Raw genomic sequence first — 14,714 nt, forward strand, 5'->3', positions numbered from 1 at the left:
CCATCTCACACCACTCAGACAGGCACAGGCTGTACAGACAAGTTATTTACTTCTTATTATAACCTTGGGCCCTTTCTGCCCTGGAAAGTGGGGGTGGGCAAGGAGGCTGGGCCCAGCATGCACCCCCACTTCTTTAGGGGCTGATCCCTCCTACAGTATCAGGCGGGTGGTGGCAGGGGTAGAGGTTGGAGAGTAGGGGAGAAAACCAAAAAAAAAAAAAAAAACAGGATGAAGACCCAGCTATGCCACATGTGGACTCCTGACATACAGAGATTATAGGATAATAAATATTTAGTTAAAGTCACAAAGTTTTGGGGTATTCTGTTACACAGCAATAGGGAACTGTATTAGTTTCCTAAAATTCCAAAATTTCCTAAAACAATTTCAAAGCAAATTACACAAACTTGGTGCCTTCAAACAACAGAAATTCATTTTCTCACAATTCTGTGGCCCATTTGTCTGAAATCAGATGCCAGCAGGATACATCCCTCTGGACTCTGTAATGCAGAAGCCTTGTCTCTTCCAGCCTCTGGTGGCTGCCAGCATTCCCTGGCTCACAGCCACATCACACTGACCTCCGCTTCTGTGGTTACATTGCTTCTTTCTGTGTGTGTCACTTATCAGAACACTTGTCATTGGTCCCAGGGCCCACTCAGGTATTCCAGTCTGACCTCAAGATCTTTAACTGAAGTAGATCTGCAAGGACCCTTTATCTGGTTCCAGGTTTTCCATGTGGATATTTTGGGAGGAGCATTTTTGGCCTACCACAAGAACTATCTGGCAGGTGAACAACATGATTAGATTTAGACAGTTCTGTCTGATTTTTGTGCAATGTCTCCTATAGCAGTTCAGTTTCAAAGCCTTTGCTTTGTCATTTGGGTGTTCCACACGTGCATTGCTTGGGGTGGGCCCAGAGCTTCTTGCAGTTCACACATAAAATCGGGATATCGCCTCCTTCCCTTCACTCCTAAGTGGGAGTTCCCCACTCTTACTGGATCGCAGCATCACTCTCTTTGGTCTTCTCTCCAGAAATCCAAGGCTCTTCTCAGAGTTTAGTTTCCTGTACTGATGCACATTTCCTCATGACTGGAGAAAACAGCATGAGAAAAGGAGAGAAGAGTGGGGATCCCTCATGCCACAAAAACTAATTTTTCCAGAACCTTTAGATAGAGGGTGGATTTTCTCTCTGAGTTTCCAGCTGGCCCGGCTGCCCCAGGCTCCATGGCAGCAGCTGCATGGCCAGGGGGGCCTTGGAGTCAGCTCAGGAACCAAAACAAAGGAACAGTAACAGAGATGTCTTCCACAGCTGTTGGCTCGCAGAGGCCTCTTCCCAGGTCTCTGATCAGCAAGACATGCTCTCTCAGAGTTTTTGTTTGTTGTCCATGACTTAATTTGTCTTGACCTCAAGTCCATGCTGGGAGATAAAGGAAGCAAGAAAAAGAAAGGAAAACAAAATAAAAACAGGTAAACTCCTGTTTGCCATATTAATCATTATTCAATTTTTACTTCTTTCAAAAAAGTTCTTGCTATTATTTATTGTACAATGTTCTCAGATAGTTAGTTGCCTTTTGCATTTTATCTAGTGCATTGAGGTATAACCGGTGGGAAAGATGGCTGCAGTGTTTTTTTTTTCCTTCTTGGCTCTAACTGGAAGCAATAGATACTTTTAATAGAAAACAAAATATAAGAAACAAAACAACTACATGATATTTGTAGAGTATCAGAAAAAAATAACTGCTATTATACCTTGGAAATATTTTTTAAAAGTCCTGATAAAATAAATTTATTTTCAGACAAATAGAAAAATAAAGAAAATTCAACAAAATAAAGATTTACTAAAAGAAATATTCAGGGTACTTTTAAATTTTTTGTATTTTTTATTTATTCAACAAATATTTATTGAATACTTGCCTATGATGTGTCAGATACTGTGTTCTATTTTTTTGTTTGTTTTGTTTTCAACTTTTATTTTAGAAACAGGAAGTACATGTGTAGGTTTGTTACAAAGGTGTATTTTGTGATGCTGAGGTTTAGAGTATAATTGAAACCATCAACCAGGTGGTGAGCAAAGTAAGGGGTGCTATTTCAGGCAAAGAAAAATCATGCCAGATAGAGGCTTGGAGATGTCAGAAGGAGTAAATAGTACAGGAGAAAATGAATACATAGATGAATCTAGATGAACATTGTTTGTATTAAAATGGGAATAATTTCTTGTAGTGTTTAGATAAATAAACAAAATTAAAATATATTGCAAAAGCAATAACAAAAATATCCAAAGGAAGCAAATGTAATTAGTATTAAATTTTGTTATGTCAAAATGGATTGTTTGTTTCCTAGAGAAAGCCTTAACTAAGTAGCCAGAATGTGTATCTTCTAAATTAACAAAGGAATAAGTGAAAAAATAATGCTAATACCTACTAAAAGAAGTTCATAAAAAAATAAAAAAAGAAAGCAAACTAGAGCAGGTTGAACAAATAGTAAGCATACAGTAAGATGATGATTTATATCCAAGTATAAGATACACTTTTTACAAGAGGAATTCTAAAGATATTGGAAGATTGAAAGTCAAAATTTAGAAAAATACCTTGCACCTGAAAAAATAAGAACTTGGAAAGGATTCCCTATTTAATAAATGGTTCTGGGAGAACTGGCTAACCATTTCTGGAAATTGAAACTGGACCACTTCCTTACCCTTTATACAAAAATTAACTCAAGATGGATTAAAGACCTAAACGTAAAACCCAAACTAAAAAACCCTAAAAGAAAATCTAGGCAATACCTTTCAGTACATAGCCATGGACAAAGATTTCATGACAAAAACGCAAGAAGCAATTGCAACAAAAGCAAAAATTGACAAATGCAATCTAATTAAACTAAAGAGTTTCTGCACAGCAAAAGAAATTATCCTCAGAGTGAACAGACAACCTACAGAATGGGAGAAATTTTTTGCCATCTATCCATCTGACAAAGGCCTAATATCTGGCGTCTACAAGTAACTTAAACACATTTACAAGAACAAAAATACGTTAAAAAGTGGGCAAAGGACATGAACAGACACTTCACAAAATAAGACACTCATGCAGCCAAAAAACATATTAAAAAAACCCTCAACATCACTGGTCATTAGAGAAATGCAAATCAAAACCACAGTGAGGTACCATCTCAGGCCAGTCAGAATGGTGATTATTAAAAAGTCAAGAAGCAACAAATGCTGGCAAGGTTGCACAGAAAAAGGAATGCATCTATACTGTTGTGGGAATATAAATTAGTTCAACCATTGTGGAAGAGAGTGTGGTGATTCCTTAAACATCTAGAAACAGAAATACCATTTGACCCAGCAATCCCATTACTGGGTATGAACCCAAAGGAATATAAATCATTCTATTATAAAGACACATGCACGTGTATGCTCATTGCAGCACTATTCACGATAGCAAGGACATTGAATCAACCCAAATGTCCATAAATAGTAGATTGAATAAAGAAAACTTGGTACATATACACCATGGAATGCTATACAGTCATAGAAAGGAACAAGATCATGTCCTTTGCAGGGACATGGATGGAGCTGGAAGCTGTTATCCTCTGCAAACTAACACAGGAACAGAAAATCAGACGCCACGTCTTCTTACTTATAAGCAGGAACTGAATGACAAGAACACGTGGACACATCGGGGGAACAACACACACTGTGGCTGGTTGTTGTTGGAGGGGAGGGAGAGCATCAAGAAGAACAGCTAATGGGTGTGGGGCTCAATACCTGTATGAGGGGTTTATCTGGGCAGCAAACCACCATGGCACATGTTTATCTGTGTAACAAACCTGCACATCCTACACATGTTCCCCAGAACTTAAAATAAAATTTGATAAAATAAAGAAGGAAAACAAATAAATAAATAAATTGACATAATTAGAATATTTCTCTAAGTGTTTAATAACTAAATGGATTTGAAGCTTTTAGACTGACATTATGACATTTTAAGTAATGCTTCCATGTAACTGAATGATTTGGTTTGTTCTGTGTCCGCATCCAAATCTCATCACAAATTGTAATCCCCATGTGTCAGAGGAGGGACCTGGTGTGAGGTGATTGGATCATGGGAGTGGTTTCCCCCATGCTGTTCTCATGATAGTGAGTGAGTTCTCATGAAAGCTGATGGTTTTAAAAGTGTGTGGCAGTTCCCCCTTTGCTGTCTCTCTCCTGCTGCCTTGTGAAGAAGGTGCTTGCTTCTCCTTTGCTTCCACCATGATTGTAAGTTTCCTGAGGCCTCCCCAGCCATGAGGAACTATGAGTCAATTAAACCTCTTTCCTTCATAAATTACTGAGTGTCAGGTATTTCTTTATAGCAGTGTGAAAACAGACTAAAACAGTTAATTTACAAATTAAATAAATATGTATTTTAAAAACCAGAAAAAAGGAAAAAATACAGTGCAAACCATAAAAGAAAGGTTTGTAGCTTTGTTAATACTAGGCAAAGCAAACTTCACAGCAAATATATTACTAAATATAGATATGGTCACTTCATAATAATAAAAAAGTTTAATGCACTAGGAAACAAATGCAAACATCATGTCACATGGGCTTAAATATATCTAGATGGAATTGAAAATATAGACTGATGAGAAAGTAAAAATCATGAAATCTCAGAACTAGAGACACAAAATGGTTAAGGCCTGGCTATGAGGAAACTGAAAGTAAAATAATAGATTACGGAATCAGAAGAAGAAAATAAAATTCATGCTCAGCCTTTATTTTAACCTATAGGGCTAGTCATTATCACATTATTCCATCATACACAAGCGACATTTCCCATTGAACTATTCATTCAGTACTAGGTGTCTAGAATGTCTCCCCAGCCTGAGCTGGACATTAGAACTCACTTTAATTATCTGTCTTCTATAACCTTTCAGCTTTCCTCACTGTCATTCCTTAGGGTCAAAATAGTCCTGTGAAGATTCTCGCCATCCAAAATCCATCTTATATATGTCCTTACCCAAAAAAGATAACTGTTCATACATTTTAAAGACTCCTAAAATTTTCTGATTTATAAGTTACAATGTGTAACTGGAAAGCAATTTGAAAAATGTTATTTTGTCAATAATTCAAAACTGACATTTTATCTTGGTTTCATCTTATAAGATTTAACTCTACCCATCTGTGGTAGGAAGAATAATGCCCACGCAAAGATGTCTATGTCCTAACTCCCAGAACCTGTGACAATTCCATGTCATATGGCAATAGAGAATTAAGGTTACAGATACCATTAACATTGCTAATCAGCTGGCCTTAAAATGGGGAAATTAGCCTAGATTATCCAAGTGGGTCTAATGTGATTCTCTACAAGTGTAAGAAGTCAAAGTGAGAGAACAAGAGACAGCAGTGAAAGAGGAACTGAACCCAGTATTTCTGGCTCTGAAGATGGAGAAGGGAATGCAATTCAAAGAAAGCAGTAGTCCAATAGCAGTGAAAGGCTGCACTTCTACTCTAGAGCCTCCAGAAAGCAGCACAGCCCTGCCAACACCTCAATTTCTCCCCTGTTTGATTCATTTAGGACTTATGACCTACAGAACAGTATGATAATATATAAATGTGTGGGTTTTTCTTAAACCACCTTAGTTTGTAGGAATTTGATATGACAACAATAGAAACTAATACAACATATCTTTATCCAGTTGCATGTTTTCACTTAATGTAAAGTTCACAGTTTAATTTGAAAATCATGCCTTTAACTCATGTCATATGTAGCTTTTTCAGAATAACCATAAAATGTACTTGCATATGTTAGAAAACAACCTAACATTTACGTTATTAATTAGTCCCAGTGCAAATCAGCCTATAGTAATACCACTAGAGTTCCTAAATACTTAATTTATAACCAACTGACATCATCAGAGAAACAATGATCAGAATCGTTGCATTCACGCAGTCTGAGCAAGGACTGTCTTTGGAACTGGGAAGCAGTGTTGGCTCTCAGTGCCTGGATAAACATGGCTAGAAGCTTTCAAATATCACAGGAAACCAGGAGGGAGAAGCCACACAAGACGAGAATAAGGAACTGCTGTCCCTGAAGAGCAGACAAGACTGTTGAATTGTCAGGCAGTCACAACTGAGAAAGACGGCAACTGATCCCTGAGAGTGTCTGTGAAGATGGGGCCTAGTGCTGGCTGGCTCAGATCACACAGCAACTACTGCCTGTATCCTTGTATTTCCAGTACTTAACACAGCCCATATGGAGCAAATAAGAAGTGAATGAATGAGTCCCTTATCAATCAACAGTTGTTTGAAGGAAACATTGCTGAGAATGTAAAGAAAAATGAAGACAGAAGAGAGAAAAACACATTTAGCTACAGTAAGCACTGCAATAAGAGATTCACATGTACTACTCCTTAAATTCTTACATGTTCCGTGGGGCCACTGTGCTTTAGAGTAGGGAAAAGTTGCTGTGGTCATGAGGAAACAGAGGTGCTGTCCATGGTAGATGTTCCCTGTGTTTCTGGGTGTAGTTCCTTTTGTCCATCATAAATCTCTGTCTCTCATAATGAAATGTCTGATAGACAAATTTTTTTTAAATAAATTTTGTTTCTATAACTCACTGAGTCACTTTCTAAGTGGCAAGTACAGAAAAATACAGTGTAGCAGAGCAATTGGAAATAAGTGGACTTTAAAGCACATATCTAGTTGCAAATCAAGACAAATAGTTTTGAACAGGTACCATGTACAACAACTTGGAGTCTCCTAAGAATACATTGACTTGTGGTTTCCTAAAACCTTCTTACTGGAAGGTATCAGGAGATTATCTAGCCCCATTTCCTGCCCAATTAGAAATCTCTCCTGAAAAGATTCTTTCAGACAGCTCTCTCCTGGAAATCTTTCAATGACATAGAAAGCCATTGCTTCACAATATAGCAATTAAATTTTTTGACAACTTAATATTAGGAAATACTTTTACTGAATAAAAATCTCTCTCATTACATTCATCCATTTGTACTAGTTCTGATTTGAGAAAGACACACAATAATCCAACTTTCTTTTTCAAAGACACACAATAATTCAACTTTCTCTTCCTCCAGCATACAAATACAAGTGTCACATGTTGCAGTCCGTTTTTTTTTTTTAAAATAGAAATATCACTGACTCCTTTCTGTTTCTCTCTGACATGTCATCCAAGACTTTCCTTGTCCTGGTCGCTGTCTCTGGATGTAGAAGCCCTTTAGAATAAGTAGAGTGATAATATAATTAACTTTGTATTATTGTAATTGTCATGAGCTCAAATATTTTTGAGATTCATTATAGTTTGATGTATATTTACTGATTTTGTACAATAATATATAAACATATATAGAAAACAACAACCTTACATTTTATTATAATGATCAATGAAGGATCATATTTTCACATTACCTGATATTGCACCTCATGGTGGCAATAGTAAATAAAATTCAAAGTTTGAATAGTTATTTTGCATTTAAACTCATGTATGGGCCAGAAAGCCCAATTCTTGTGCTGGCTGCACGAATTACTAAATACTCAAAGGGATGAAAGCCCCTCCCTCCCATACTCAAGTATTTACATGAAAATCTAGCTTCTCAGTTTTTTACTTTTCAAAGACTGAGATTTTAGTGTTGTTGCCTTCTTTCTTAGCTTACAATGATATTTAAGATGTTTAACAGAAGTGTTAAATATCATAGTCTATAAGTTTTTTTAAAGATTAATAATTCATTAAACACTAACAGAAGGCTAGTTTTTGCCTTATATCTTTGAAAATAATGCCATACAATGAGGACTTCAAATGCAATATTGTGGATGTTACAATCTCCAATAAAAATATGCTATTATTAAAAATGTCCTTTCTTTCTTAATTTTGTTTATTAATGTGTATAGCAATCTTCTTCCAGCGTTAAGAAGGGAAAGTGGAAAATATACAACTTTGGAGTGGACAAACCTAACAAACGCTACTGCAGCTGGGTGGTTAACGTCAACTGTGATGTCAAATTAATAATATGTACCCTTGATATGATGTAACAAAAATGGCCCTTTGCCTCTGTGATTTTCGTCCCCAAATCCATAATCCTAGTCTCATCATGGAAAGATAGTGGACAATCCCAACTGATGAACATTCTACAAAATACCTGACCAGCACTCCTCAAGACTGACAATGTCTTCAAAAATAAGGAAAAATTAAACTGTTATAACCTAGAGATGCCTAAGGGGACCTGTTGAATAAATGTGCATCAGTCCAGTTGGGATCCAGGAACAGCAAAAAAAAAATGTTTGGTAAAACCTGTGGAAATCTGAAAAGAGTATGGACTTTCGTTAATATTAGTGTATTCATATCATTGTATTATTAATCATAATAAATGTGTCATTGTTATGAAATGTAAAATGCCAATAATAGGGGAGACTAGCTGTGTGGTATATGGCAACTCTGTTCTATAACTGTATGTTTTTTGTAAATCCAAAACTGTCCTAATATTAAAAAGTTTACTTAAATATATTCATATATATGTATAATTAAGTTAACCCCAGGTATTAACAAACTTGTGAGATGCTTATCAGCTTCCTGATGTATTCATCCATGTATTAATTCAGCAAACATTTTGTGAGAGCTTACTGTGTCAAGTTGTTAGGGAGCAGGACTGTAATATTGAGCAAAAAATGGTTAGTCTCTGCCTTCGTGGAGCCAAGAGTCTAGTTGGGAAGGGAGACACTAATCAAATTAGCACATAAGCAAATGTGAAATTACAACATTCATAGATAATATGAATAAGTGCTATGAGAGGTTGATTCTGTAGCTATCCAGGAGTATGAGGACAATTTCCTAAAGTTTATATATAAACAATGAGTAAGAATAAAATAAGAGAATTGGTGGGAAAATATATTTTACGCAGAGGTAATAAAAGGTACCTATTCAGGAAAAAAAGTAAAGAGATACAATCATAGCAATGGATATTATTTTTTTACGGAAATTTTCACTTGTCTAGGGTAAAATGAAAATGTTTAATATAAGTGAATTTTTCATAAGACTCAATTTATTTTTTAAGGATAGGTCTTTAATTTTATATATTGTCTTCTTACATTTATGGAGTTAAATGTCCATCCTCTTATCAAATGATGGTAATCATAGAAAAATTTTGTTTTGTCTGGTATCCTTGCTTAATAAAAGAAAAGGCTATTTAATCAATGTCATTACTGTTGAAAGGTTTAATACTCCAACAAATACACTCCTCAAAATCATTGACCCAGAATCTTTACAGATAGGGCAAATCTGCATATAGTCCCAAAACAACCGGAAACTTTGAGATTAAAACCAGGTCACTGAATCCTGAGGCTGGAAGAAAATGATGATGTTATCAGCAGAATACTAACCATGACAAATGGGTCAAATTTTGGAAAATCACAGAAACCATTTCCACAAGTCTCTAGAAGTCTGGTCTTTTATAAGTCTACAACGTTTGTGATATTAATTGACCAAGTAATAAAACTATCACACACACACACACTTGAAATATAGTAGGAAAAACAAATATTTATCAAAATTTAGGCAGCATAAAAGACAGAGGTCTGTATGACTGAGTTGGGAAGCATTACAAGCAACCAGTATTAAAAGGTATTTGGATATGCTGGATCTGAAAAGAGGAGGAAGTATAACCTCAAAACTCTCCATTGTTTAATCAATCAAGGGAGCAAAGTCTACTGTTTTGTTTTGTTTTGTTTTTCAGAAGTCTTTTTGTGTTGTGGAAAATGCATGAGTTTGATGTTATCAAACTTGGGAACTTGGGTACAAAATCCTAGCTTCTCTAGTTACTAGTTATGTGTACTTGACTTCAATTTGCTCCTTAGAAACAGAAACTAGGTAACTTTAAGTTACTGTGAGCATTCAATCTAAAAAGTGCTTTAAACATTCTGTCCCTTATATGATGCTGAAACATTTGCAATTTTTCTTCTTTCCAGTTGAATTCTAAATTAAATGATGTAATCCATAAACCATCAATAAATGGCAGCCTCTATTTGTTTATTGTATAAGAGTTTACACATCTTTGTTGATGGAATAATAGTCTTTGGGATTCTCAAGAATCATTATTTGGGTAATAGAATGTTGATGAAACTGGACAAAATTAGTTGAAATAAAATTGTGGCATCTTAAGCAGCTATGATCTTTGCCAAGTGATACATCTGTACTGCAGTTTCCTCCTCTGTAAAAGAGACAGAGAGGAGGCAGGTAAAATGCTAACCTCCCTTTCAGCTAGCACTTCATGAATCAATCCTTCCCAATTATGCTTTCCTACTGGAATACTGAAATTAATACCAATCTGTAAATAGAGATAATTTTACATGACATTTCTATTAAGGTTACTTACAGATGTAAAGGAATCTCCTCTTTGATTCTGATTCTTCCCTATATACCCTATATGTGTTGTTTATTTAGATATATTTTGTTACTTTGAAACATATGTGTATGTGTATAAATGTATATGTATCTATATAGAAATATACATATACATACACATATGTATATGAGATATTATTCTAGCCTTAAAACAAGAGAAACTCTATGTATCGGTGGAGTAAACTGTTGTTTTTCCCCACCTGACAAGAATTCTAGATGGTAGCATTTGCTAACTATATTTCAGTGTGATGGTCAAATTAATAATATGTACAAGAACCAATTTCCTTTATTTTTTAAATTAATGTTTTAAATGGATAATGAACTCATTACAATTGTACATTTTAATGGGGTACATTGTGATGTGCCAATTCATGTAAAGATTGTATAATGATCAAATCTAGGCATTTTTTACAGTCATTACATTAAACATTTGTCATTTCTTTGTTTTAATAACATTCAAAATCTTCTATTTTAGCTACATTGAGATACACTTTACATTGTTATTTGCTCTAGTCACCCTACTATATAATAGAGCACCATATCATTCTTCCTTCCTGTATCTCTGTATTCATTGGTCAACCTCTCCCAATTCTCCCCTTCTCTTTCCCTTCCCCAGGTTCTGGTAACCAATAACCAATATTCTACTCTCTACTTCTGTGAAAACAACTGTTTTAGATTCTACATATGAATGAGCTCATGCAATGTCTGTCTTTCTATGCCTGGCTTATTTCACTTAATACATTGTCCTTCAGGTTCATCCATGTTGCAGCAAATGTCAGGATTTCATTATTTTTAATGGCTGAATAGTATTCCATTGTCCATGTTTGTGTGTGTGTGTGTGTGTGTGTGTGCTATCTATTTATCCATCTATCTATCTACCATTGTGAATAGTGCTGCAATAAACATGGGAGTACAGATATCTCTTGGATAAACTGATTGTCCTTTGGATATATACTCAGTAATGGAATTGTTGAGTCATATGGTAGTTCTGTTTTTACTTTTTGAGGAACCTCCCTACAGTTTTTCACAGTGGCTGTACACTCCCACCACTGGTGTGTGAGGGTTCTCCTTTCTCCACATCCTCGCCAGCCTCTGTTATTGCTTGTCTTTTTGATAAAAGCTGTTTTAACTGGGGTGAGATTATATCTCATTGTGGTTTTATTTTATATTTCTCTGATGATTAGTAATGGTGACAATTTCTTCATATACCTCTTGGCCATTCATATTTCTTCTCTTAAGAAATATCTATTTAGGTCTTTTGCCCATTTTTTAATCTGATTTTTTTAGTTGAGTTATGTTCCTTGAATATTCTGGGTATTAACTCCTTGACAGATGCATAGTTTGCAAATACATCTGTAGGTTGTTTCTTTACTTTGTTAATTGTTTTCTTTGCTGTGAGGAAGCCTTTTAGTTCAAAGCAATTCCATTCATCGCTCCATCTTCTATCTATCCACATCATTTATTTCCTATCATCTGTAGAGTATTGGCTTTTATCTTATGGCCTTCAAGTCCTGGTCATGGAGGGCGACAACAGCTACAAACATCACTTCAGTTTCAGGAAGGAAAGAAAAGGAAGAGGGATGAGTAGAATCAGCCACACCTGTCCCCTTGTATCAGGTAAGAGAAAATTTCCCAGAAACCCTTTTGGTAGTTCTTCTCATTCTGTTTAACAAAATCCATGACAATTCTTTATGGGGTCGGGTAAGACAAGTTTGGCCAGTACTTAACTTTCCTATCCTCTGTAGTGCCATATGACACAGAAGTGGTGGCTGTGAATAGCTTCTGGATCAGTCAGTCAGTAGTATTTACCACATTGCTTAATACGGAAGATGTATTAATTCTAAAGAAAAAGCACGGATAGCCAGTCCCTCTGTGGGATGAACACAGCCCTTCAGGATTCACAGACACACACACAAATAATTTAATCAGTTATTAGAGTGTATTCTACAGGCATTTCACCCATCTTTCTATATTTTACACACTTACGTGCAGAAGTGAAAAAAAAAAACTGTTTGGAAGCTATATATTTAATCCATAGAGATCTGCTGTACTACCACTTGCAAGTTAAAAAATCATTTTTTTTCCATAAAAGCGTTGGTTTTGAAAAGCAAAAAAAAAATCAAAAAACAAAAAACAAACAAAAAACAAAAAAAAAACCTTCTATTCTGTCTGCCACATTGAAAAGGCTCAACAAAGCTTGTAGGTGAATTGAAAATCATGATGGAATAAAGACTAACAGAAGGAAGATTTACCAAAAATGAACTAAAGACTGTGATTAGAGGTTGTGGAGTGTGGTGCTGACAGGCATGGGTGTCACTGAAGCTGACATTTTCTTCCTTTTTTATAGCCGCTGACATTTCTGAGTCCTAAAGTCTACTTTTTAGCATTAGTATGTTGCTGTCTGCTTGTCTGCATTGTTATTCTTTATCCACCAAAATGTGAATGTCAGACAAAGAGGTGCCAACCAAAAATGGGTTAGTGTGAGTGAAATAAATAATTGCAGAGAGAGTCATTTAAGTCAGAATAAAAGCAAGGGCAAGTTTGGGCACTGCACTGCATTCAGATTCTTAACAATCATATTTTTACATTTTACATAATTAGAGTTTATGTCAAGAAGTATGTCAGGAAAGTAAAATATTTCAGTAAAATAGCCTGCTTTGTAGCTTGGAACAGTACTCACCGGAACTTAATTTTTTTAACAAGTTTTAATATTGGAAATTATCAGCTGATTTTTATTTACCACAACCCAAAACATCTGCGTTGATTTCCTCTCCTTCGGATATATACTCACTAATGAGATTGCTGGTTCATATGGTGGTTCTATTTTTATTTTATTTTATTTTATTTTATTTTATTTTATTTTATTTTATTTTATAGATGGAGTCTCGCTCTGTCACCCAGGCTGGATTACAGTGGTGCGATCTCGGTTCAATGCAACCTCCGCCTCCAGGGTTCAAGCGATTCTCCTGTCTCAGCCTGCGGAGTAGCTGGGACTACAGGCGCACACCACCACACCCAGCTAATTTTTCTATTTTTGGCAGAGACGGGGTTTCACCATATTGGTTAGGCTGGTCTTGAACTCCTAACCTCAGGTGATCCACCCACCTTGGCCTCCCAGCGTGCTGGGATTACAGGGTGAGCCACCACGTCCAGCCTTATTTTTTATTATTATTATTATTATTATTGTTGTTATTATTATTATTATTATTATTATTATTATTTAGGTGGAGTCTCGCTCTGTCACCAGACTGGAGTGCTGTGGCATGATCTCGGATCACTGCAGCCTCTCCCTCCCAGGTTCAAGCGATTCTTCTGCCTCAGGCTCCCAAATAGCTGGGACTGTGGGCATGCACCACCGTGCCTGTAGAATTTTTGTATTTTTTAGTAGAGACAGGGTTTCACCACGTTGGTCAGGATGGTCTCAATCTATTGACCTTGTGATCTGCCTGCCTCAGCCTCCCAAAGTGCTGGGATTACAGGTGTGAGCCACCACACCTCTGGCTCTTATTTTTAATTTTTGAAGAACCTCCACACAGTTTTCCATAGTAGTTGCACGAATTTACACTCCCACCACCAGCGTACAAGCGTTCCCCTTTCTCTACCCCTTCGCCAGCATCTGTCATAATAAAATGGAGCAGTTTTCCTGAACATAGTTTCCTTCCCTCTGCCTCCACCACCCTTTTGTCCAATGAGCCCTGCCTGCCTGCCCCCATGCCCCTCTTTGCTTTGCTTGTCTTTCTGGCCAGGGCAGCTCCAGCTATTAGCGTTTCAGCAGCCGTGGAACTATGACCCTGCACAGGGGCCACCCCATAGCATACCAACGCTGCTATCTCCTTCAGTGCCTAGGGCTGGAGTTAGCATGGCCTTCATCACACCCAAAGAGACCGAAGCTAACTCCCTGGGACCTGCCTCCTGTCCCGGGCTCAAGAGAACACAGCAGGAATGTGGGGTAATTGATCCCCAGGTGACATACTTTGTCCAGTGAAAGACCAGGGCAAAGAAACAGCCTGCTGATAAATTTGCTCACTCTTGCTCAATAGACGAGCTGTTTGGATTTGGGAGTGCAGTGATGGCACAGGCCCCAGAGCCAAAGCACACTTAATGAAGCAGTGCTTCACTGAGAAGCTGAGGCCAGTTCAGGGATCTGAGAACTCCCACTTCATATTTGTTTTCTGCTGGCCTGCCTTGCTGGCCTTCACCTATGACCCTAAGTTCCTTAGGCTCAAATATCTTCCCTAATCAATTGTTAACATGTGAGACTTTGCCTCACACTCTATTTCTACAGAAGCAGGACTAAGGAAACAACTTTCACCTCTAAATGTTCAT

General features: G+C 36.7%; 1 protein-coding gene across 21 annotated transcripts in view; it reads left to right on the top strand.

Moving 5' to 3' along the window:
* The window catches only part of SNTG1 (syntrophin gamma 1), an 886,897-nt gene that overhangs the window by 647,219 nt on the left and 224,964 nt on the right, over positions 1 to 14,714 (top strand). For 3 of the 21 annotated variants that reach the window (NR_135797.2, XM_047421898.1, XM_017013582.2), the window contains one exon: positions 11,868 to 12,005. The exons of 17 other annotated variants lie outside the window; for them this stretch is intronic. Coding sequence is in view for 3 of the 4 variants with exons in the window: in XM_047421898.1 (XP_047277854.1) it covers positions 11,868 to 11,972 (105 nt within the window). In the remaining variant the exon portion in view is untranslated. Of the gene's footprint in view, positions 1 to 7,882; positions 8,464 to 11,867; positions 12,006 to 14,714 lie in introns of those variants that run through there. One more of the 21 variants, XM_017013581.2, reaches the window with a different exon arrangement.

Source organism: Homo sapiens, chromosome 8 (assembly GCF_000001405.40).
Source record: "Homo sapiens chromosome 8, GRCh38.p14 Primary Assembly".
Classification (NCBI taxonomy): domain Eukaryota; kingdom Metazoa; phylum Chordata; class Mammalia; order Primates; family Hominidae; genus Homo; species Homo sapiens.